Source organism: Homo sapiens, chromosome 3 (genome assembly GCF_000001405.40).
Source record: "Homo sapiens chromosome 3, GRCh38.p14 Primary Assembly".
In the NCBI taxonomy this organism is placed as follows: Eukaryota; Metazoa; Chordata; class Mammalia; order Primates; family Hominidae; genus Homo; species Homo sapiens.
The window spans coordinates 14749948-14773651 of NC_000003.12; the positions used below are offsets into that span (position 1 = coordinate 14749948).

The 23704-nt window shown below is 49.8% G+C and overlaps 1 protein-coding gene across 9 annotated transcripts in view; it reads left to right on the plus strand.

Moving 5' to 3' along the window:
• C3orf20 (chromosome 3 open reading frame 20) overlaps positions 1-23089 on the plus strand; it is a 97896-nt gene extending 74807 nt beyond the window's left edge. For 5 of the 9 annotated variants that reach the window (XM_006713341.3, XM_011534153.4, XM_006713342.2 and 2 more), the window contains 6 exons: positions 7424-7727; positions 9944-10051; positions 11526-11668; positions 12890-13018; positions 22120-22254; positions 22844-23089. In XM_006713341.3, the coding sequence (XP_006713404.1) occupies positions 7424-7727; positions 9944-10051; positions 11526-11668; positions 12890-13018; positions 22120-22254; positions 22844-22928 (904 nt within the window). In that variant the 3' untranslated portion in view covers positions 22929-23089. Of the gene's footprint in view, positions 1-7423; positions 7728-9943; positions 10052-11525; positions 11669-12889; positions 13019-22119; positions 22255-22843 lie in introns of those variants that run through there. The other 4 variants (NM_032137.5, NM_001184958.2, NM_001184957.2 and 1 more) reach the window with 2 other exon arrangements.
• The last annotated feature ends 615 nt before the right edge of the window (positions 23090-23704 follow it).

Sequence of the window (23704 nt, forward strand, 5' to 3'; positions counted from 1 at the left end):
CACATATGTACAATTATTGTTTTATGTATTTGTGTTTTAAATCATACAGAAAAAAAAAACAAAAAAGTTACAAACTGAAAAATATGACAATACTTCTTTTATGTTTACCTATGTAGTTACCTTTATCAGTGTTCTTTATTTCTTCATATAGCTTCAAGTTACTGTCTAGTATCTTTCCATTTCAACCTGGACTCAATGGCATGTTTTGTGGTGCAGGCCTACCAGGAACAAACTCCCTTAGCTTTTGTTTGTCTGGGAATGTCTTACTTTCTCCTTCATTTTTGAAGGATAGCTTTGCTCAATATAGAATTCTAGGCTGAGGCTGGGTGCAGTGGCTCATGCCTATAATCCCAGCACTTTGGGAGGCGTAGGCAGGCAGATCTCTTGAGTCCAGGAGTTTGAGGCCAGCCTGGGCAACATGGTGATAACTTGTCTCTACAAAAAACCTGTCTCTACGAAACAGCCAGGAGTAGTATCACGTGCCTGTCATCCTAGCTACTCAGGAGGCTAAGATGGGAGAATCACTGTGCCCTGGAGGTTGAGGCTGCAGTGAGCTGTGATCATGCTACTGCATTCCAGCCCAGGTAACAGAATGAGACCCTGTCTTAAAAAAAAAAAAAAAAAATTCTAGGCTGACAAGGTTTTTTTTTCTTGTTTCTCTTTCAGCACTTTAAATATGTCCGCCCACTGCCTTCTAGCAGCCAAAATTTCTCATGAGTAATTGGCTATTAATCTTATTGAGGATTCCTTGAACTTGATGAGTTGCTTCTCCCGTTGTTTTCAAGATGTTATGTCTTTTGATAATTTTATGATAATGTGTATCAATGTAGATCTCTTTGAATTTATCCCACTTTGAATTTGTTAAGCTATTTAGATATGTAGATTTATGTCTTTCATCAAATTGGGAGAGTTTTAGGCAATTATTTCTTCAAATATTCTTTCTGCTCCTTTCTTTCCTGTCCTTCTAGGATTCCCATTATGTGTCTTGAGTATGTTTGATGCTGTCCCACAGACATCTTAGGCTCTGTTAATTGTTCTTCATTCTTTTTTCTTTCTACTCCTCAAACTAAATAATCTTAATTATCCTATCTTCAAGTTTGCTGACCCTTTCTTCTGCCTGCTTAGATCTATCACTGAATTTTTATTTTAGTTATTTTACTTTTTAACTCTAGAATTTCTGATTGATTACTTTTCATAATTCTTGTCTCTTTATTGATATTTTCTATTAGGTGAGATATTGTTCTCCTGGTTTCCTTTAGTTGTTTTTCCATGGTTTCCTTTAGCTCTTTAAATATAGTTAAGTGGTTGAAGATGGCTGAATAGAAACAGCTCTGGTCTACAGCTCCCAGTGAGATTGACATAGAAGATGGGTGATTTCTGCATTTCCAACTAAGGTACCTGGTACTCCTCATTGGGACTGGTTGGACAGCGGGTGCAGCCCCCGGAGGGCAAGCTAAAGCAGGGCAGGGTGTCGCCTCACCCAGGAAGCACAAGGCGTCAAGGGATTTCCCTTTCCTAGCCAAGGGAAGCCATGAGTGAATGGTAAGAAAAAGAAATAAAGGATATTCAATTAGGAAAAGAGGAAGTCAAATTGTCTCCGTTTGCAGATGACATGATTGTATATTTAGAAAACCCCATCGTCTTGGCCCAAAATCTCCTTAAGCTGATAAGCAACTTCAGCAAAGTCTCAGGATACAAAATCAATGTGCAAAAATCACAAGCATTCCTATACACCAAGAACAGACAAACAGAGAGCCAAATCATGAGTGAACTCCCATTCACAATTACTACCAAGAGAATAAAACACCTAGGAATCCAACTTGCAAGGAATGTGAAGGACCTCTTCAAGGAGGACTACAAACCACTTCTCAAGGAAATAAAAGAGGGCACAAACAAATGGAAGAACATTCCATGCTCATGGGTAAGAAGAATCAATATTGTGAAAATGGCCATACTACCCAAGATAATTTATACATTCAATGCTATCCCCATCAAGCTACCACTGACTTTCTTCACAGAATTGGAAAAGACTACTTTAAATTTCATATGGAACCAAAAAAGAGCCCACATAGCCAAGACAATCCTAAGCAAAAAGAACAAAGCTGGAGGAATCACACTACCTGACTTCAAACTACACTACAAGGCTACAGTAACCAAAACAGCATGGTACTGGTACCAAAACAGATATATAGACCAGTGGAACAGAACAGAGGCCTCAGAAATAACACCACACATCTACAACCATCTGATCTTTGACAAACCTGACAAATACACACAATGGGGAAAGGATTCCCTATTTAATAAATGGTGCTGGGAAAACTGGCTAGCCATATGTAGAAAGCTGAAACTGGATCCCTTGCTTACACCTTATACAAAAATTAACTCGAGATGGATTAAAGACTTAAACGTAAGACCTAAAAACCATAAAAACCCTAGAAGAAAACCTAGACAATACCGGTAATTCAGGACATAGGCATGGGTAAAGACTTCGTGACTAAAACATCAAAAGCAATGGCAACAATAGCCAAAATAGATAAATGGGATCTAATCAAACTAAAGAGCTTCTGCACAGCAAAAGAAACTATCATCAGAGTGAGCAGGCAACCTACAGAATGGGAGAAAAGTTTTGCAATCTATCCATCTGACAAAGAGCCAATATCCAGAATCTACAAAGAACTTAAACAAATTTACAAGAAAAAAACAAACAACCCCATCAAAAAGTGGGCAAAGGATATGAACAGACACTTCTCAAAAGAAGACATTTATGCAGCCAACAGACATATGAAAAAATAGTCATCATCACTGGTCATCAGAGAAATGCAAATCAAAACGATAATGAGATATCATCTCACGCCAGTTAGAATGGTGATCATTAAAAAGTCAGGAAACGACAGATGCTGGAGAGGATGTGGAGAAATAGGCACGCTTTTACACTATTGGTGGGAGTGTAAATTAGTTCAACCATTGTGGAAGACAGTGTGGCAATTCCTTAAGGATCTAGAACTAGAAATACCATTTGACCCAGCAATCCGATTACTGGGTATATACCCAAAGGATTATAAATCATGCTACTATAAAGACACATGCACACATGTGTTTATTGCTGCACTATTCACAATAGCAAAGGCTTGGAACCAACCCAGACATCCATCAATAATAGACTGGATAAAGAAAATGTGGCACATATACACCATGGAATACTATGCAGCCATAAAAAAGGATGAGTTCATGTCCTTTGCAGGGACCTGGATGAAGCTGGAAACCATCATTCTCAGCAAAATATCACAAAGACAGAAAACCAAACACCACATGTTGTCACTCATAAGTGGGAGTTGAACAATGAGAACACATGGACATAGGGAGGGGAACATCACACACCAGGGCCTGTTGTGGGGTCAGGGGCTGGGGGAGGGATAGCATTAGGAGAAATACCTAATGTAAATGATGAGTTGATGGGTGCAGCAAACCAACATGGCACATGTATACCTATGTAACAAACTTGCACATTGTGCACATGTACCCTAGAACTTAAACTGTAATAATAATATATATATAGTTAAGCTGTTGATTTAAAATCTTTGTCTAGTAAGTCCAATATCTGGGTTTCCTTGGGGACAGTTTCTAGTAAATTTTTTTCCTGTGAGTGGTCCATACTTTTTTGTTTCTTTGCATACCTCAGGTTTTTTTTGTTGTTGTTGAAAACTGAACATTTTAAATATTAGAATGTGGTAACCCTGGAAATCAAATTTCACCTTTTCCTTAAGATTTGTTGTTGCTGCTTGTTGTAGTTTGTAGCTGTTTGTTATTTAGTTACTTCTCCAAACTACTTTTATAAAGACTGTACCATTTGTAATGTGTAGTCTCCATTCAGTTAGGTAAGTGGTCAGCTAGTGATTTGATAGAGATTATCTGGAGCCAAAACAAAAACAAAAACAAAAACAAAACTCTTCCAGTCTTTGCAGATTGGCTCTGTATTGAGACATTCATTCAATGCTTTTAGTCAGGCTGTTCACACCAAGACTAATCTGCATTAGCCTTTACCTTCTACTTTCAAAAAGTCCAGTGGTCAGCCAGAGATGAAAGCTTAGAGTGTTCTCAGGCCTTTTCAAAACATGGTTCCAAACCTGGTATCTATATTCCCTGGTATGCATGTGAGCCTTTCAAAGCCTTATTCTCCCATATACCTCCTTCCCCACCCTCTTTCTTCCCAGGCTTTTTAGCCTACTTATCTGTGCCTCTTCTGTTTCCCCTTGCACCATGAGGCTGTCTGGTATCTTTGTCTTTAAATGCACCTGACAGATGCTTCCCAGGAGGGACTGCTCCAGCCCTGAGAATGTTGCGAGTCAGATAAAACAAAGTCAAGCTCTGAGCTGATCCCTCAGGGAACCTCTAGACAGGCCAGCCCACAGAACCACAATTCCTTGAGAACAAGGTTCATATTGTCCCCTCTGCTACTAGCAAGGTGCACCAGGAACAGGGGCTGTCATTCCATGGATGCTACTGAGCAGGGCTTTGAGGGATGGCAGGGGAGTAAGCTTAAAATGCTACAATGCTCTCTTACCAAAATTTAGCAGCATCTTTCTTAATTAAGCATTCCTCTGGTTGTTGCAAGTTTTTTCATTAGATTCCAGAACCTTGGATAAAGTTGTTTCTGACAGTGTTTGCCAGCTTCATTGTTGATCTAGTCAACGGATGTGGTTTTTGAGTTCCAAAATTAGAGTAACCACCATTTTTGGTGGCTTCACTCCCCTCTTTTTATGAGTTTATTTTTAAATCTTTATTTTTATTTATTTTAGAGACAGGGTCTTGCTCTGTCTGCCAGGCTGGAGTGCATTGGTGTGATCATGGCTCACTATAACCTCGAACTCCTGGGGTCCAGCATTCCTCCCACCTCAGCCTCCCAAGAAACTGGGACCACAGGCATGTGCCACCATGGCTGGCTAATTTTTTAATTTTTAGTAGAGATGATGTCTTGCTATGTTGTCCAGCCTTGTCTGGAACTCCTGGCCTCAAGTGATCCTCCTGCCTCAGCCTCCCAAAGTGCTGAGATTACAGGTGTGAGCCACCATGCCCAGCCCTCCCTCCTTTATAATTTTTAAAACCTATATTCTTTTCTGTGAATTATTTGTTCACTACCTTTGTCCATATTTTATTGGGTTATTAACTTTTTCTAATTGATTTGTAGTATTTTACCTAGTGGAGACATTGGCCACTGTTCTATGGCAGGAGTTTCAAATATGTTTCTCGGTTTGTCATTTGTCTTTCATCTTTGGTTATGATAGTTTTGGTTTTTTGTGTATGTGTATTTTTTTTGCCACAGAGGGATTTTGGAGGCTGTTTTCTTTCATGTAGTTGACTTTATCAATCTTTTTCTATTATGACTTCTGGATTTTTTAGTCATAATTGTAAAAAGCCTTCCTGCTCCAAAATTATAGAATAATTTCCCCATATTTTCTAGTAGAAACGTTATGGCTTAATTGCCCCACATTTAAACCTTTGATTATTTTGAACTTCTCCCTGGGTAAGCTATAATTAATAGATCCAGTCTCCCCCACCCCCTGCTCTGCCCCAGATATGCAGGTTCTTGAGTAAGAGATATTCTTAACAAGTTTGTTCAGCAAGTACTTATCAGTATTAATAGCCCCTGAGAAATAATGCTCATCTTGCATTGCTCTTGTTTCAGGATGTCCTGGTTTCTAATCCTAGCCCTTGCCACTTAATTACCATATGAACTTGGGCACCCATTCACCTCGTGGGAACCTTCTGTTTTCTAATCTGTAAATGGCAATAAGAGTTTCTGGGCTGGGCGCGGCGGCTCACGCCTGTAATCCCAGCACTTTGGGAGGCCGAGGCGGGCAGATCACGAGGTCAGGAGATCGAGACCATCCTGGCTAACACGGTGAAACCCCGTCTCTACTAAAAATACAAAAACTTAGCCAGGCGTGGTGGTGGGCGCCTGTAGTCCCAGCTACTCAGGAGGCTGAGGCAGGAGAATGGCGTGAACCCGGGAGGCGGAGCTTACAGTGAGCCGAGATTGCGCCACTGCACTCCAGCCTGGGTGACAGAGCGAGACTCCATCTCAAAAAAAAAAAAAAAAAAAGAAAAAGAAAAAAGAAAAAAGAGTTTCTGTCCTGCCTGTTGCACAGAGTTGTTATAAAATTAACCAAGACAATGTCTATTCCAAGACTGTGATGCTGTAAAATGCTAAACATGCTACTGCCTTTCGTCATGTTTAGCATTTTACAGTATCCACAGTCTTGGAATAGACATCGATAAAGGTAGAATCATAGCAGCACTTTCTATTTGGATGGCGCTTATTCCCGTGTAAATACCACAACCCTCACAACAACCCGGTACAGTGTTTGGCACATAGTAGGGGCCCAACAAATATTGGTTTGAATATTTATTGAATCTCTGTTGAATCTTTACTATTTTTCAAATGCTACTGTTTTATTCCACTGAACAAAACACACCAAATTCATGAACTCATGGAACTTGCATTCTAGTAGGACAGAGAAGTGCAATAATAAAATTTAAAAGTAAAAGATATGTTAGATAGCAAGCAATGCTAAGAAGAAAAATAAAACAGGGAAGGGAAAGAGTGTTGGAAGAAGAGGGATGAAATAGGGCACTCAGAAAATCTCATTAAGAAGGTAACGTTTGGACAGAGCCTTGTGAGAGTGACATAATGGCTCTATGGAGGAACAGCAAAGGCCACTATCCTCCAAGACTAAAGGACAAGTGGAGGCCAGTGTGGCTGAAGTGCAGTGAGCAAAGGCAGGAATGCTGGAGAGTAAGAGATGTAAGGAGGATGAAATGCAGGGGGCAGATTCTTGCAGCCTTGAAGCACATGGCAGGGACTTTGGCTTTTATTCTGTAAAAGGTAGAAAGCCACCGGAGGGTTTTGAAGAGAGTAGTGACATGACGTGAGCTAGGTTTTAACAGGATCCCTTGGTCTGAGAACAGACTGAAGACAGGCCAGGGAAGAAAACACAGGACCCATTAGGAGGCATTAGCAGGCAGCCAGGCAAGAATGAAGGAGACTTGGACCACATCCGTGGGGGTGGAGGGGAGGAAAAGTGGTCAGATTGTGGGTCTGTCTTGAGTGTAGAGAGGACAAGCTTGCTGACAAGATTAGATGGGATGTGTTCGGTGTGAGAGAAGGGAGTTAAGGATGACACTAAAGCATTTTTTGACCCAATGGATGGGTGAAGGAGTAACTTGTTACTCTCATTTTGCACTGTGGAAAGAGGCCCAGAGAGGTTAGGGGACCTGTTCAAGGTGGTGCAGCACATTGGCAGCAGGGCCCAGACTAAAATCTGCCTGCAGCAGGGCCTTTGACCAGCAGGAGCCAGGGGGCTCTGGGAACCACAGACCTTCACCACCTTCTGAGGGTCCCTGTGCACTGTGCTCCTCCTTGCAGAGGGAAGGCCCGCGAGGGGCGCAGCCCCACCAGGTGGGCGGCCTTGCCCTCAGACTGCCCGCTGGTGCTGCGGAAGCTCATGCTCAAGGAAGACACCCGTGCTGGCTGCAAGTGCCTGGTGAAGGCGCCCCTGGTCTCTGACGTGGAGCTGGAGCGCTTCCTGTTGGCGCCCCGAGACCCCAGCCAAGTGCTGGTGTTTGGGATCATCTCAAGCCAGAACTACACCAGCACTGGGCAGCTCCAGTGGCTGCTGAACACTCTCTACAACCACCAGCAGCGGGGCCGTGGCTCCCCCTGCATCCAGGTTGGTCTGGGCCCAGTGAGGAGGCCCTGGAGGCCAGGGGCAGGGGTAGTGGGGCAGTCCGAGAAAACCCCCACAGTGCTAGGACTGGCTGAGCACCTGCCTGAGGGGCCACCCTCCTTCAGCTCCTTTCTCCTTGGAGTCTTTGTGTGTACTCTCCTGTCTGCAGTGTCCTCCCTCCCCCTGCTTCTGTCCTTCCCGCTCATCCTCTAGTTCTAAGGTGAATGTCACCACATAAGGGCCAGGCCCTCTTCTGACCCTTGAGACAAAATCAGGGCACTGTCCTTTCCTTCCAGTTTGTGACTGCTTGTTGGTGTGAATATTTAGAGCACGGGCAGTGCTCACCACTGAATCCTCAGGGCTCTGAAAATACTTGTAGACTGTCACAAGTACCCACTGTGTGCTGGGCATGGACCGGGCCCTGGGCACCCAGCATGACTCAGATGCAAACCGGGCCCTAGAGGAGCTCCCAGTGTGGCAGCAACTCCAGCACTGCCAGTGAGGCCGTGAGAGGACAGCTCTGGGCACACAAGAGCCTGGGAACATGTGCCTGCTGCCATCTGGGGGTCCGGAGGGCCATCCAGGTTAAATGGGGTTTTGGCAGGTGATTAATGTTCCTAGAAGAGGCAGTGGCCTGTGCGAAGGGGGACAGGAGAGAAGCACTGCTCAAGGTCCCAGCTGGTTATGGCTGAGGTCTAAAGGGAGTCTTCAGGCCCATGGAACCCACTCCTGCCTACTCATCGCTGCAGTAGAGTCGTTCCCACCTATCAGGCTTATGTAATCCTCCAAGCATGCAGTCATTCCCAGCAACATTGGCACAGTTTGAAGGCTGGCCCCAACCCCAGACCAACTGGAGCAAAGGATGGCACATGAGCACATGAGCTGGGTGTCCACATGGTGACTTCCTTCAAGCCCTGTTTGCCCTCCTGTCTCCTAGAATCCGCTGTCTTTGCCCATTTCCCAATTGCTGCTGCAGAGTTCTGGGTTTCATGTACACCAGGGGTAGGGGTTCTGCATGGACACCCTCCTCCCAGAAGTGGCCCCTCCCTGACTCTGGCACGTCCACCCTCGGGTCTGTGCTCCAGACCTTCTGAGCAGACACCAGTAGCCCTTTGACCATCTCAGTCCAAGAGTGTAGACTCAGCCACAAGCCTTTTCACTTGTCCCATACAGCAAAGCCATGTTTGTTTTCCAGAGCCAACCTCCAATTTAGTTCAATCCAGTGAGCATGTATTGAGTTAATTCTGTGTGTCCGTCCATGTAGAGACAGATAAAATCCCTGCCCACGGGGGAACTTAGAGTTGATTTTAGCTTATTATGGGGCTAGTCGTTGTTCGCTAACAGTTGTCCCTAAGCAATTGGAGTGCTCAGGTGGCCAAGCCCAGCCATGAACAGTGTGAGTGAGGACAGGGCGTGGCCTGAGGCAGTTGAAGTTCATAAAGGAGTGGGCAGCAGGCCTGGAGGACAGACTTGGAAGCAGGTGTCAGATTAGGGTGTCTTTGGTGAATGCAGAAATGTTCCCAGACTTTCTCTTTCCCTGACAGCTAGAACACTGGGTGTGGTTCTGAGTTTCATATTGTAGACTGAAAGGATAGCTGGAGGCACCTGGAAATAAGGCAGATAAAATGGGAAGACAGCACATTGGCTGTATTAATAGATCTGAGGCATCCAGAAAGAAGGAGGGGAGAGAGGCCAGCTTTCCTCTGAATTGCCCACACCCTACCTTGAGGTGTGGGTTCAGTTCAGGTCCTCTCCCTGGATATAGTGACTGGGAGGGTCCTGAGGGGCTTGCCAGGAGTGGGTAGGGAGTGGGGGAATTCTTTATGCTGTGTAAAGTAGACTCAAAAGCCTGGAAACGGGTCCACCTAAGAACACAGTTCCCATCTTCAAACCTCTGCAGTGCTACCTCCAGGGCAAGGGAGCAGTCACATTCTGTGGACCCCAGAGAGCCAGGCTAGTGGGAGTCACATGTGGGGCAGCCATCTCGGAAATGGCCTTCTCCCCTAGCGGGCTCTAATCAGATCCAGGGACATCCTCAAGGGACAGTCATGGGAGGTGTGCATGCAGGCCCAAGGGCCCCTGGAGCAGGAGGAGTTGGGGAGAGGGAGTTGTACAGGGCTCCAGGACTCAGGGGGAACCAGGCCTAGCCGAGAATATGGCAATCCAGGTACATCTTATTGGCATGGGGGTGACCAGTTCTCATATTTCTCTCCTGGTAGTGCCGGTATGACTCCTACCGCCTGCTGCAGTATGACCTGGACAGCCCCCTGCAGGAGGACCCTCCCCTGATGGTGAAGAAGAACTCTGTGGTGCAGGGGATGATTCTGGTGAGCCAGCAGGGACTTGCTATCCACTGCCTGCCACCCCAGCCGCAGCCACCTCTGCCCCTGCAGAATCACACATGTGGGAGGAGGAGGAGAGAGGAGAAGAAGGGAGGGGCTGCGGAATTATCTCCCCACCGTGGCTGAGGCCCAGAGAGCAGGAAGACTGACCAAGAGTCACCCAGCACACAGAGCTGGGGCTGAAGCCCAGGACCCTATGTGTCCCCCATCCCAGGAGACTGCAGGGACAGGTGACATTCAACCTAGCAAATCAAATTCCCTTCATCTGTTTGTTTTTAAATGGCTTTATCCTAAAAACAGTGTACTGTAAATACTTGCACATGTTCTTTATGGAAAGCTTAGAAAATATAATTTAGAAAATAATGACATCATCAGATCACTCAGAGAGTCTCATTTGCTCACCCCACAGATATGTACCTGGCACCTGCAAGGGCCACCACATGCTAACATTTTGGTGTCTGACCTTTGCAGTCCTTTTCTGCATATATTCTTTGCAATTCTTCTTTTTAAATTAAAATACCATGAGCATTTCCCCATGTCCTTATTTAGTTTGTAACACCTGATTTTTAACTACTGTGTAAGAGTCTGTCTTCTTTTTTTTTTTTTTTTTTTTTGAGACAGAGTCTCACTCTCTCACCCAGGCTGGAGTGCAGTGGTGTAATCTCGGCTCACTGCAACCTCTGCCTCCCGGATTCAAGTGATTATCCTGCCTCAGCCTCCCAAGTAGCTGGGACTACAGGTTCCCACCATCATGCCCGGCTAATTTTTGTATTTTTAGTAGGATTGGGGTTTCACCATACTGGCCAGGCTGGTCTCGAACTCCTGACCTTGTGATCCGCCCACCTTGACCTCCCAAAGTGAAGAGTCTGTCATTTTATCTATTTGTGCTGTTTTTGTTGACATTTAAGTTATTTGTATTTTTTTGCCATAACAAATAATGCCGTCATGAATATTTTTGCACAGAAATATTTGGGTAGGTGTCTACTTGTTGGGGACTGACCTATGGGGGTGGGAGCCCTGCCCTCAAGGGTTTCCCATTCCATGGGATAAGCTGAAACGTACATACACAGCAGGAGAACACATTTCTGGCCCCAGGGCTCTGTGGGGTTGTATGTGAAGTGCATTTGAGCTGGGTGGCCAAGCAGGCAGAAGGGAAGGAGTGCTGCCCTCCTCAGGTTGCCCAGGGAGATATGGCTGAGCCAAACCCCTGACCAGGCCCCCAGATCATAGGGCAACCCCACCGTCCCAGCCTGGGCAGGGGCTGGACTCAGCCATACCTCCCTGGGCAACTCAGGGAGGGCAGCACTCCTTCCCCAGCCACCCCAGGCCTGCCTCACGGCGTAAGCTCTGAGAGGCCTGTGGCGCTGTTCTAGTGAAATTCCAAACTTGCCTGTCTTATCAGTGGACACTGCTGTGCTGATGTGCTGAGGATCTCTCCTCATTTCCTTCCTGTCAACAGATGTTTGCCGGGGGGAAGCTCATTTTTGGGGGCCGTGTTTTGAATGGATATGGCCTCAGCAAGCAGAATCTGCTGAAACAGATCTTCCGGTCTCAACAGGATTACAAGATGGGCTACTTCCTGCCGGATGACTACAAATTCAGGTAAAACAGGAAACACGCAGGATGAGGGATGGGCCTGGGGAGGTATGGAGGGCAGAAAGGAGACTTGGGCTGTGAAAGGGGAACTGAGGGGAGCAGGCGGGGCTGAAGGGATGGAGTGGGGAGGGGGGCTGGAGGTGGGAAGCCTCCACCTGTGGCACACACATGGCAAAAACTGCGGCAGGAGGACTTTGCAGGTGGGCAGGGGAGAGATGGGAGCAGGTGCAGAGTGGGAGGGGGTGTGTGAGCAAAGCCATGTTGTGGGTTTCTTTGGGACACAAGTTTGGAAAAAGAGCCCCCTTGGGGAAAGAGGGACATGGGAATGCTTGCACAGTCCCTGTTTCTGTTGGAATATTCTAGACAGGTTTGGTGGGCAGGAGCTCTGGCTACACCCCCTCTCTGTCCCACCACACCCTACCACCACCTCATGTGCAAGCTGGGCTCTGCTTCTGCTTTGTTTTTTTGTTTGTTTGTTTTGAGACAGGGTATCACTCTGTTGGCCAGGCTGGAGTACAGTGACGCGATCATAGCTCACTGCATCCTTGAATGGCTGGGCTCAAGTGATCCTCCTGCCTCAGCCTCCCCACACAGACAAAGGCCATTCATGAAGTGATCCCAGGCCCCTGTAGCAGGAAATGCTGGCTTAAGTCTGCCTCTGGGCTTCTGAGCTTGGGCTTTTCAACCAGGTGATGCCAACTTGTTGAGCACCTCCTGGGCCCAGCTCTCGTGAGATGATCTTCTTGAGCCGAGAGACCTAGCTTTGAGTGGCTCAAGAAGAATACATCCTAGTCCAGGAAGGAGCCTGCGCTGCATGAAGCGCCTGAAGACTGCTTTAGGGGAACATGAGCAGATTTGAGAATGCCTGGGCAGCACGGTGCAGTGAGACACTTGCAGGATGAGGTTGGAGCCCCTGCTCCACTCTACTGGCTGGGTGACTGTGGTGAATCAGTTTACCTCCCTAATCCTCTGTTTCCTCACCTTCAAAATGAGGAAATAATGCCCACCTTGAGAGGCTGTGAGGATCTCATGAAAGTGTGTTCGTTAAAGAGCTTTGTGAACTGTGAAGCAAATGATGGGGCATGTGGAAAGTGTTATTTATATGCAGACCTGGGGTATGCAGCCCTAAGTCCTGTGACTGCACCCCCACAGCACCGAGTCTGGGTACCCCCTACTCCCACACAGGACCCTCAGTTTTCTAGGAGTCTTATGCCCTTCTCACTGCAGTAAGCTGAGTCTGGGCCTTGTCCGAGTGGGGCAACCCACTTCTGGAGGAACTGAAGAGGTCATGCCAAGTGACCCCCACAACTCAGAGCACTCAGCGGGGAAGGCAGGCCCAGGAGGAGCCTGTGGATGGTAAGGAGGAGCAGATGCTGAAAGGTGCAGACAGAAAAGTCACTGAGACCCCACTGCCTGAGACTTCAAGAGGGAGAGGGCTTGGTGGTCCTTGAAGACCAGTCACCAACAATCCCAGGGAGAAAGACAGAGGCACCAAGGGCAGGACAGGACAGGGGGACGCTATTGGGAAGGGCCCAGGCTGAAGATGAGCTGAGGCTGCAGGAAGATGCCAAAGAGGACCAGCAAGGGCATTTTCAGAAACATTCAGAAGAAGGCTAGCCTGCTATGGTGCATGGGGAGTGAATGTCTTAGCCTGTTGAACATTTATTTCCCACTGTCTGGAGGCTGGTAAGTCCAAGACCAAGGCGCCAATGGATTTGGTGTCTGGGAAGGGCTGCTTCCTGGTTCATAGATGGCGCCTTCTTGCTGTGTCTTTGCATGGCAGAAAGGACAAGGGTCTCTCTGGGGCCTGTTGTATAAGGGCACCAATCCCATTCATGAGGGTCCCACCCTCATGACTGACTGCCTTACCTCCCAAAAGCTCTGCCTCCCAACACCATCACCTTAGGGATGAGGATTTCAGCATATCAATTTGGGGGGACATAGACGTTCAGACATCACAGTGGAGGATGCCAGAAAGTAGTTACAAAGAGACATATTTTATTTGGCTCTAGATGTCCTCAAAAGGAAGATGCTCTTTAGTAGGAAATGACAGTTTAAGGAGTCCGGCCACCTTTCATAGCTGCGTGAACTGTGTAAAACACTCACCCTCTCTGTGCGCCAGCTTCTTTGTAGAGTGAGACTCACTGTATTGGGTTATGGGGATTAGAGGAGTCAGCACATGGGAAGTGCTGGCACATAGCTCACGTTTACTGAGATTACTGCCTACCCTTGTTAGTGATATTATTATCATTAAAATGAGCTCTGGTCTCCTAATGTGTTATATTCAAGGATTCTGAAAGAACTTAGTGGTATGCTTACAACAGTCTTCAACAATTGTTCAGGAATGGTGAGGAAAGAATCAGAAAACTAGACACACATACATACACACAAACCAGATACACACATATACAAACTATACACATACATACAAACTATAAACACATGTAAACCAGACACACATGTACACACATTAGATTCCTGCACTTACTAGATGCACAAACACACACAAACTAGACACACAGAAGTAGACACAAACTAGACACACATACACATGCATACACTATACACACATATACACAAACCAGACACACACAAACTAGATAGAAACATACACACATACATACAAACTAGAAACATGCACACAAGATGGTCTAGGTTCTTGAAAATGGAAAGAGGCAGATTCGTGAAACTATTAACCAGTAGGACTCCTCCTAATCCTAGAATAGCCAAGTGGGTTGATGGTTTAAGAGCACTTAGGTGAAAAAAGGAAATAGAATCTTTAATTGAAAGCATTGCCATAGCAGTTGTTCCTATAATCCGTATCTGTGAAACAAACCACCCAAGCTTTGTAGGATAAAACAACACAATCGTTTATTATTATTATTATTATTATTATTATTGTTGTTGTTGTTGTTGTTGTTGTTGTTATTCTCTGTCATGGTCCTGGTGCCAGCTGGGCTCAGCTAAGTGGTTCTTGTTTGGCAGGAGTGAGAAGGTCTGTCATACAGTTACAGTCAGAAGTTGTCTGGGGCTAAGTCATCTCCAAGGTTTGCGCACTCCCATACCTGGTGGTCAGTGTGGACTGTCAGCCAGACCACTCAAATGTAGCCTCTCCAAGTGGCCTGGGCTTCCTCACAACATGGTGGCTGGGTTCCAAGAGGGAGCTTCCCAGGAAAGGGCCAGCGAGAAGCTGTCTTGCCTTTCATGCCTTAGCCTCATAAGTCATGCAGCATTACACATTCCATTGCACTGAAGTCCCTGGGGCCAGCCCATATTCAAGGTCGGGGGGAATTAGACACCACCTCTTGATGGGGAAAGAGTGTTGAAGAATTTGTGGACATGTTTGAAAAGCACTCCATCCACCCCAGTTCCTCTTCCAGCAGGGTGACTGGTTAGTAGTACAAGACGTGCTGTTGGCCGGCCGCATCACCTGGATTCCAGAAGATACTGGGTGAAATCTCACAATGTCCTCATGGACAAGGTGGATGCATGTGGTTCAGATGGTAGCTTCTGCAGCCACACCCCAGTGAGTGAGGTTCAGCAGCAGCCTAAAGGGCAGGCCTCTGTGATTGGCCGGTCCATTTATTTTCTAAATATGCAACCAGGATGAATACATAGAAGGCTTGCTGATCAGTTGTGCCCTTGAGGGAGAAGAGATGGCTGAATCAAGGTCTCAGCAGGCTCAGTTGCTACGGGATGGTTTGGGGGAAAGAATAAATGTTCACCTTTAGATTTGGAAGGCTGATGGTCAGAGGCCATGGAAGGGGTAGCGTGAGGGACCATTATGCTGGAAACAGTCTCTGAAATCAGAAGAATCCATGCCTAGAGCAAGGGAGTCTGCAGTGCCAGGAGCTGACATTGTTTTCTATGTCCTCCGTTTACTGAGGGATGTTGGCCAACAGCTTTGCATCTAGAGTGCTAGGAGAGGGAGGCCCTCACTGTTGCTTGGTGGGAATCATGTCTTCCTTACCCAGAGTAGACTTGGCTTTGCACAAGTGTTGGGGGGGAGTCCAGGAAATCCTTCTGTGGAGGTGAGGAGGTGGAGAGAAAAGCAATAGGTGAGCAGAGCAGGTGCAGGGAAGCTGGGCTGGAAGCCAGGTCCAGTCAGGTTGGGGTGGTCACCAGGCTGGGGGCACTTCAGCCTTCTCTTTCCTCAGAGGAGCTGGCCACAGAAAGAGTTCTCAATGTGGGCCTGGAATCTGTGAAGCCGCCATGGAGAGGCAAGGGCCAGGAGCAGGAAGAGGAACCCACAAAGGAGTCGGACCATAGGTGCTGGGGAAGAAAGGGTCCCCACGGGGGCCTCATGAGCTCCAGCAGGGGCTGGGGCAAGCTGTCACCTGGCAGGTAGATTGCCTTCTGACAAACAGAGCAGAAGGGTGAGGGCCTGCCAGGCCAAAAACAACTGGGGGAGTCTGCAGGGCCTCTGGGAGTGGCGGGCCCAGTGGGCTGCACCAAGATAAGGCCACAGAAGGCTCCAAGCTTGGGAAACAGCAGCCCAGCTCGGGGCCAGGACTGATCAGAGACCAGAGCTGTGTGAGGCTTGGAGCCTCCCTGTCCCCCACTCAGCCTGTGCCTTTTCTCCTTTCTTGTGTGGCAGATAGTGATCCCCTCCCCAGGGCAGCCCTGTGCGGGGCGCTGGGTCACATCTGGCTCAGCCCCTGTCCTTGCCAGACTCTTCCCAACTGGGCACCAGCACAATAGGGACCGGAGAGGCCAAGAGCTCATCCTCACTCCCGAAAGCTTCCAGGCCCCCAGATGGAGGGGACTGAGGGAGCTCTGACACCTGGTAGGGCTCAGGAGGCTGGAGCTGCCAGGAAAGCTTTCAAGCAGCCAGCAGTAGCCAGGCTGGGAAGAACAGCCCAGAACACATGCAGAGCTCGTGAGTCTGCACCATGTCCACCTGCACACGACAGTCACTGCTATCCCCCTGCCTCCGTCATCACCCTCAGGGGCAGCCGGCGAGGGGGAGGGGGGTCACACACTAGTCACTATTTGCAGGCCCCTATCTGTGCCAGTGAGCAGAGGTGCTGCCCGGCTGCACTCATACAGCAGTGGGGACGAGGTACACAAGAGACCAGGACTGGACTTGTGACAGTGGTGACGGGGCGTGAAGGGCCCACCAGGCAGGGAGGGCAGTTGGCCCTCTTAGCTCAGCCTGCCAGCACCCAGGATGCAGAGAGTGGGTAGGTGAAGAGGTGGGGCGCCAGGGTAGCTGGAAGCCAAGTGCAGCCGGCCTGACCCCCAGCCAGGGCGGCTGTCCCCTTCCTGAGTGTGGCCAGAGCTGTGGGAGGCTTTGAGGAGCGTGGCCAGGCGGCTTTGAGGAGCGTGGCCAGGCAGCTTTGTCAGGACGACGGCTCCGACTCACTGTGGAAGATGTCTTGGAGCACAGGAGACCAGCGAGGGCCGGAAGCCTCTGCTTTGTCCCTCCATTGTCACATCCTCCTGCTGGGACCTCTCGGAAAGGCCATTCTCCATCTACCTAGGACTGGAGCTAACTGGCCAACTGTCTGCCTCGCCTGCTAGCCTGTTAGGTCCCCAGGATGGGAATGTGCCAGACCTGGTGTCCTGGAGCCCTCACAAGTGTCTGGGGTGGAGGCGCCTGGCAGTGCCCCTTTGTGGTGCTGCCCTTGGGCCTAGCATGGGGTGGTGGGGAGAGGAGAGTGAAGCCTTGGGCTCCAACCCCAGCTGCTAGGCAATGTGGGAGTCTGGTGGGTGAGCTTCCTGCAGAAAAGATGACCCCGGGCCCTGAGTGCCCATATTAGAGAAGGGAAAGTGGAGGCCCAGCCAGGGTAGGGAGGTGCCCTGGAGAGACAGTGTGCCCAGGTGATGCCACAAACCTGGCCTTGCCCTTGCTGGGCCTCAGTCCCCTCCCTGTGGGATGGGGGTGTAGTTCTTTCTGGACCATTCTCAGAGGAGTGAGTTGAGAGGATCAGAAGCTGTCAGAGATGACTGCACCTGTGATGACAAAGTGTTCCTTAAACTGTCATGTGCCCTGTGAACTGCAAAGCCCTGTGTAAACTTTAATGCACCCAGTAAGCCACAGAGTACTTTGCAAACTGTCATGAATTCTGTAAAAGACAAAATCCTTTGTAAATTGCCACATGTCCCCAAAATCACAAAGGGCTTTGGAAGCAGCAATGTGCCCTGTAAACCAGAAAGCATCTTCTACACTGCTGTGCGCCCTCACGGGCCTGCTCTCCAGAACAGCAGAGCACTCCGTAAGCTACTGTGAGCCCCGTAAAGTGCTCTCTAAACTGTAATGCACCTCCTACCCTTCAAAGCAGTTTGTAAACCATAAGACACTCTAGAAGGGACAAAGCACGGTATAAACCGTCAAGGGCTCTGTGAAACGCAGACCACACTACCAACTGGAATGAGACCTGATAAAGACAGAGCGCTACAGAAACACCAATGTGAGCCTCAAGAGGCTTTGTATCCTGTAACATGCTATCCAGATGGGAGGGGAAGCTCTTTACAGCTGCGCCACTTGGTAGCACCCCTGCCCCTTGCCCACCTCAGAAGAGGCAGGAAGAGACTAGGTGGAGGCAGGAGGGGTAGGCAGGGGAGTGGGGAGGGCACAGGGTGAGGAGACTGGGTCTCTAGTTGGATCAGCAGTGCAGGGGGCCCACACCCTCGTCCGCTGCATACACCAAGACCCCTCCAAGGATGGAGCTGTGGAGAGCAGGCCCCGTGCTCAGCAAGGAGCCAGCCACCGCCAGGCCCTCCCTCTATGATGCTGCTCTGAGGAACAGCAATCCACCCTTACCGGCTGCTCATGCCAGCAACCCCACACCCCACTCAGCCCAAGGAAGCCCCTTGGACAGGCAGGGGAAGGGCATGCAGACGTAGGCTTTCCTGACTTGATCCTACAGGCAATGGGGAGCTAATGAAGGTTCTTGAGCTGAGAGAGACTTGATCAGAGTTGGGCTTTAGACTCATGAACCTGGCAGGGACTGGGTTGGGGCTAAGCAGGGTATCATGAGCTTGTCACAGCAGCAGACAGTAACGACGGATGAGGATGGTGTTAAAACTACCTCTTTTCTGGACTGGGGCCTGAGGGGGCGCTGAGTAGAGAGAAATTACCTTCCTGAAGTAGACCAGGGGCTCAGAAATAGTGGGCTAGCCGCAATACCATGGGGAGGTGGGCTCCACACCCGACAAGGGCCTGTTCTTGTGGATGCTTTTCCTTTTCACTGTGGTGAGTACAAAGGCTTTGAAATTCCTGGAGGGACTGGCCTGTTGCAAAGCCCCCGATGGTCTTTTTTGCTTATCCCTGACCAAGGATGGTCTCAGAATCAACCTCTAGATTAGTCTTCCAGAGAAGCACCTGGCCCACTGTCAGCAGGGACATGTGTTCCTGTCACCCCAGCAGGACAGCTGTGTGGCTCTGCTGGCCTAGTCGTTCACGATCCTCTGATGTCCCCATCATTTGGTTCATTCGTTCATTCACTCACTCATGCCTGGCTAAGAGCCAGACACAGGAGGTGCCAAGGCGCTGAGACCAAATCCTGCTGAGGCACTTGCAGGGCAAATTCATAGAGCTGTGAGCAGTGCACCATAATAAGCACGGAGGCAGAGGGGACGGTGGAGGAAATCTCACCTTCTGCTAGAGCTCAGAGGGCTTGGCAGAGGAGGGGACCTGGGAGGCTGGCTTGAAGGATAAGAAGAAGGCCCAGCAAAGGAGGAGAGGGAAAAGGCACTCAGGAGGGGCTGGGGCAGGCAAGGGCTCAGTGCACCGCAGGAACCTGTGAGCAGGAGGGCTGTGGATTTAGGGGAGCCACCAAGACAGGCTGTTAGAAAAACATGCTGATAGTTTGGGCCATGTATCTGTAACATGCTATCCAGATGGGAGGGGAAGCTCTTTACAGCTGCGCCACTTGGTAGCACCCCTGCCCCTTGCCCACCTCAGAAGAGGCAGGAAGAGACTAGGTGGAGGCAGGAGGGGTAGGCAGGGGAGTGGGGAGGGCACAGGGTGAGGAGACTGGGTCTCTAGTTGGATCAGCAGATTCTGACAGACCCTGAAGCAGGCGTCATGCCGTGGGGGCTGGAGCTTACCCCTGCAAGCATCAGGGAACCACACACTGGCTTTAAGTGGGAGAGACAAGGCCAGATCAAGGAGGACCAGCCCTCTGGTGGGGCGCGGGGTAGGGGCACTGGATGGAAGAGGGTGAGGCTGGAGACAGGGAGAACAGGGAGGAGGCCAGTACCCAGGGTGGGGACATTTCCCAACTGCTGGGACGGAGGGGCTGGCTGTGAACTCAGGGCCTTCTATAGGTATTTAGTCCTAGAGCTGAGCTCAGGGAGGAGGTGCTCTGGGAATGAATGAAAGAAAGAATGAAATGTCCAGGTGAGGGGGACCATGCTTCTTTCCGAGCCTTTTCCCCTGCACTCCTCAAGCACTCAACACCAAACAGAGTTGCTGGGACCTCCTCCACATCCACCCTGGGCTGGGGCTCTAGGGGGGCCCTGGAGGAGCCCATCAGCCTACCCTGCGTCTCCTGCCCTCCACCCTGCCCCCTGAGAATGGCAGGGACTGGACCATAGGCCCAGACACTTCCACAGTCCACCTCTTCTCAAAGGGCCTCAGGCAGGCCTCTAAGAGAGGCGTTTAAAGGGTCAGCTTAGTTTAGTGTGTGTGCTCCTTGTGAGGCCGGATTGGAGGTAAGGGGCTGCAAAGAGGCGTTAATTTGCCACATGTAAACGTTGTGCATACACCCAGATTCTGAGGCCCGGTCTCGGCATTTCTTGGTGTTTAGTTTTTCTAGGGCCCTTGAAATGACGGAGTAGGCTGTGTCTCCTCTTGTCTCTGAAAGGCCCTGGCCTTAAGCAAGTCACCTGTGATTCCCTTGCTTGATCTATACAAACAAAACAGATTTAGACAGCCCGTAAACACTGTTTCTTGCTCTAGGCCTTGTAGGATGGCCCCTGCCTGGACAGTCCCTCCACACCCACTTCCTGTCCCCAGCCCAGCCTTAGCCACATACTCCCAGAGCTACCTCAAGCCCCCTCCCCAAGCCATGCCCCTTTCTTCAGCACCAGATACTGCTACCCATGACCCCCACCAGGTTGTAAACTCCTCAGGGCCGGACGCATAGTAGAGGCTCAGTAAATATGACCGAGTGACTAGACAGTGCATACATGGGCCAGTCCTGTCTCTGCCATTGACTTACTATGTGCCCGTGAATAAGCCCACTCACCTCTCTGGACTTCGGGGCCCTTGTCAGGAAAATGGGACAAATGTCCCAGAGTTGCCTGCTTCCCAGGGCTGCTGTGAATCTCAGAAACATCCCGTAACTCAGAAACACTGACAATGAATGGCTGCAAAGCTGTGAGGTGTGGCACAGAGGTAAGGAATAGCCACGTTTGTGTTGGCTGGAGCTGCTGTAACAAGGGGCTGTGGTCTGAAAGTGTGCCCCCCAAAGTTCATGTGTTGAAATCCTCACCTCCAAGGCAATGGTTTAGGAGGCAGAGCCTTGGGGAGGTGATTCATGGGATGGAACCCTCATGAATGGGATTAGTGCCCTTATAAAAGGCTCCAGAAGGACCCTCGCCCCTTTCCCTGTGTGAAGTTATGAGAACACAGCCATCTGTGATGCAGCAGGTCCTCACCAGGCACTGAATCTGCAGGTTCCTTGATGACGGGCTTCCCAGCCTCCAGAATGGAGAGGAACCTCTGTTGTTTCACAGCCACCCAGCCTATGGTATTTTGTAATAGCTGCTCGAACAGCCTAAGACACAAAGGTGACCCAAACTGAGTGGCTGAAACAACAGAAATTCATCCTCTCACAGTTCTGGATGCCAGAAGCTTGGACCAAGTTGTGGGCAGGGCCACGCTCTTCCAGAAGCTGCTAGGGAGGCTCAGTCCCAGGCCTTGCTCCCTGTTCCTGGTAGCTCCTTGGCCTATGGCCACAGAACTGCAGTCCTCACATGGCATTCTCCCAAATTTCCCCTTTGTAGAGGAACACCAGTTATGTTGGATTGGACCCACCCTCCTCCAGTATGGCCTCATCTTAACTAATGATGTCTGCAGCGACCCTATTTCCAAATAAGGCCACGTTCCGGGGTCTTGGGGTTTAGGACTTCTACATATGTATTTGGGGGACATGTGTTCAGCCCACAATACCACACATGATGACACATTTCCTTTGCCCCCTGTCATCTCTCCTGTGGTCACTTACGGAGCCCTCCCGCCCCACCGCAGGCATTTGCTATGGTCAGTGTTGGGGGTGCGAGTGTAGCAGCATTTGGGTTAGGGCTAATCCAGCCCAAAATAGAAGCCAGGGAAGCCAACCTCCAGCATGTCACTGGGTCCCCAAGGAGGTCAGAGTCTCCCTTCGCTGCCCTCAGGAGGAGAAGCACTTGTGTCCTTGTCTGTCCAGGCTCCCAGAACACTGATGGGACAGCGTGCAGTGCACCCTGGGCCCTGAGCACTGCCCCCGACCCTGCCTCCCCTGCAGTGTTCCCAACTCTGTCCTGAGCCTGGAGGATTCTGAATCAGTCAAGAAAGCCGAGTCAGAAGATATCCAAGGAAGCAGCTCCTCATTGGCCCTGGAAGACTATGTGGAGAAGGAGTTATCTCTGGAGGCTGAGAAGTAGGTGACCACATCAGCTGCCAGAATGGGCGTGGCTCACAGCAGGCCACCTCGGGGCTATTTGGCCTTGGGCAAGTCACTACCCCCAGGCGTGGCCTGGGTCATGTCCAACCATCGCTGACATCTAGCCCATGTAATCAACACAATATTGGGCGGGCATGCAGGCTGCCCTGGAGCTGCTCGCAGTGGTCTGGGTGGTAGAGATGGAGGCCTTTTGTAGACTTTGCAGCAGAACCCCACAGCCCAGACCCATTAGTCTGAGAAGGGTGGAGACTGCCCCGCTGTCTCCTTGCAAGAAACTTGCTGCACCTGTTAAAGGCCACTTACTTGCTGGTGCTGGTAACCATGAAATGAATCACACATTCGGCATGGCGTGGAAATCACATATTTCTCATGAAGATAGAAAAGCAAAATTAGGAGCATGTAGAAAGGTCGCAGGTGCCACCGGGGCCCTCTGGTTGGAACAGCACCCAACAGCCTCACCTGTGCAAGGGAGAGGGCCTTGCCCCTCCTGGCCCAACCGGGCCTGGGCTCTGGGCACTGTGAAGAACAGCCCTTCCGCCTCCCGGCCCTCTATTTTGATCTTTAGGACAAGAGAGCCTGAAGTGGAGCTACATCCTCTCAGCAGGGACAGCAAGATAACTAGTTGGAAGAAGCAGGCCTCCAAGAAGTAGCGCCATCCTGGCAGCAGCCAAGTGAGCCAGGCCCCGGCCCGGGGTGCTGGGGCTTCTTGCCAGCCCAGCCCTGCCTCCCCGGTCTCCCACCCTGTCCTCCAAGCTTCTATAATAAACCAGCGGGCCTCCAGCATTGGGGTGAGGCTCTGGGGAAGGACAGACCCAGCTCATTCTGTCTTCTGTGAGGCTAGAGGCCCCCAGCAGACTTGTCCCAGGTCACGTCCTTGGAAACTCGGTTCCCCCGATGCAGAACTTCCTCTGCGGCCAGTTAAGTCAGCTGAGGCCCTCCCACACTCAAGGAAGGAAGCTACCTCCAAGAGGTAGCGCGAGGATAGGTGACCCAGTAACCCCCAGGATGCCCAGATGGGACTGAACTGGGCCTCCTATACCCTTCCTGGGTGAGGGAGGCTCAGTCTATGGTGTAGGTGGGAAAGACAGCAAGAAGAGAACAGTGAAGAGGCAGAGAGAAAGGCCAAAGGCAGGGAAGAAGAGACAAAGGGAGAAATGAGAGGAGGAGCAAGGAGAGAGAGGAAGAAAAAAGTGAGGGGGGAGGGGAGGGGGTAAGAAAGAAGATGGAGGAGGGAGAAGGAGAGAGGAAAAGTAGGAGGAATAAACAAGGAGGGAGGGGGAGGGGAACAAGTAAGGAAGGAGGGGAGGGAGGAGGGGAACAAGTAAGGAGGGAGGGGCAGGAAGAAGCAAGTGTGGAGTGAGGAGGGAGTTAAGAGGGTGATGGGGAAGAAATCACTGAGGGGGGATCTGAGGAAGATGAGAATGGT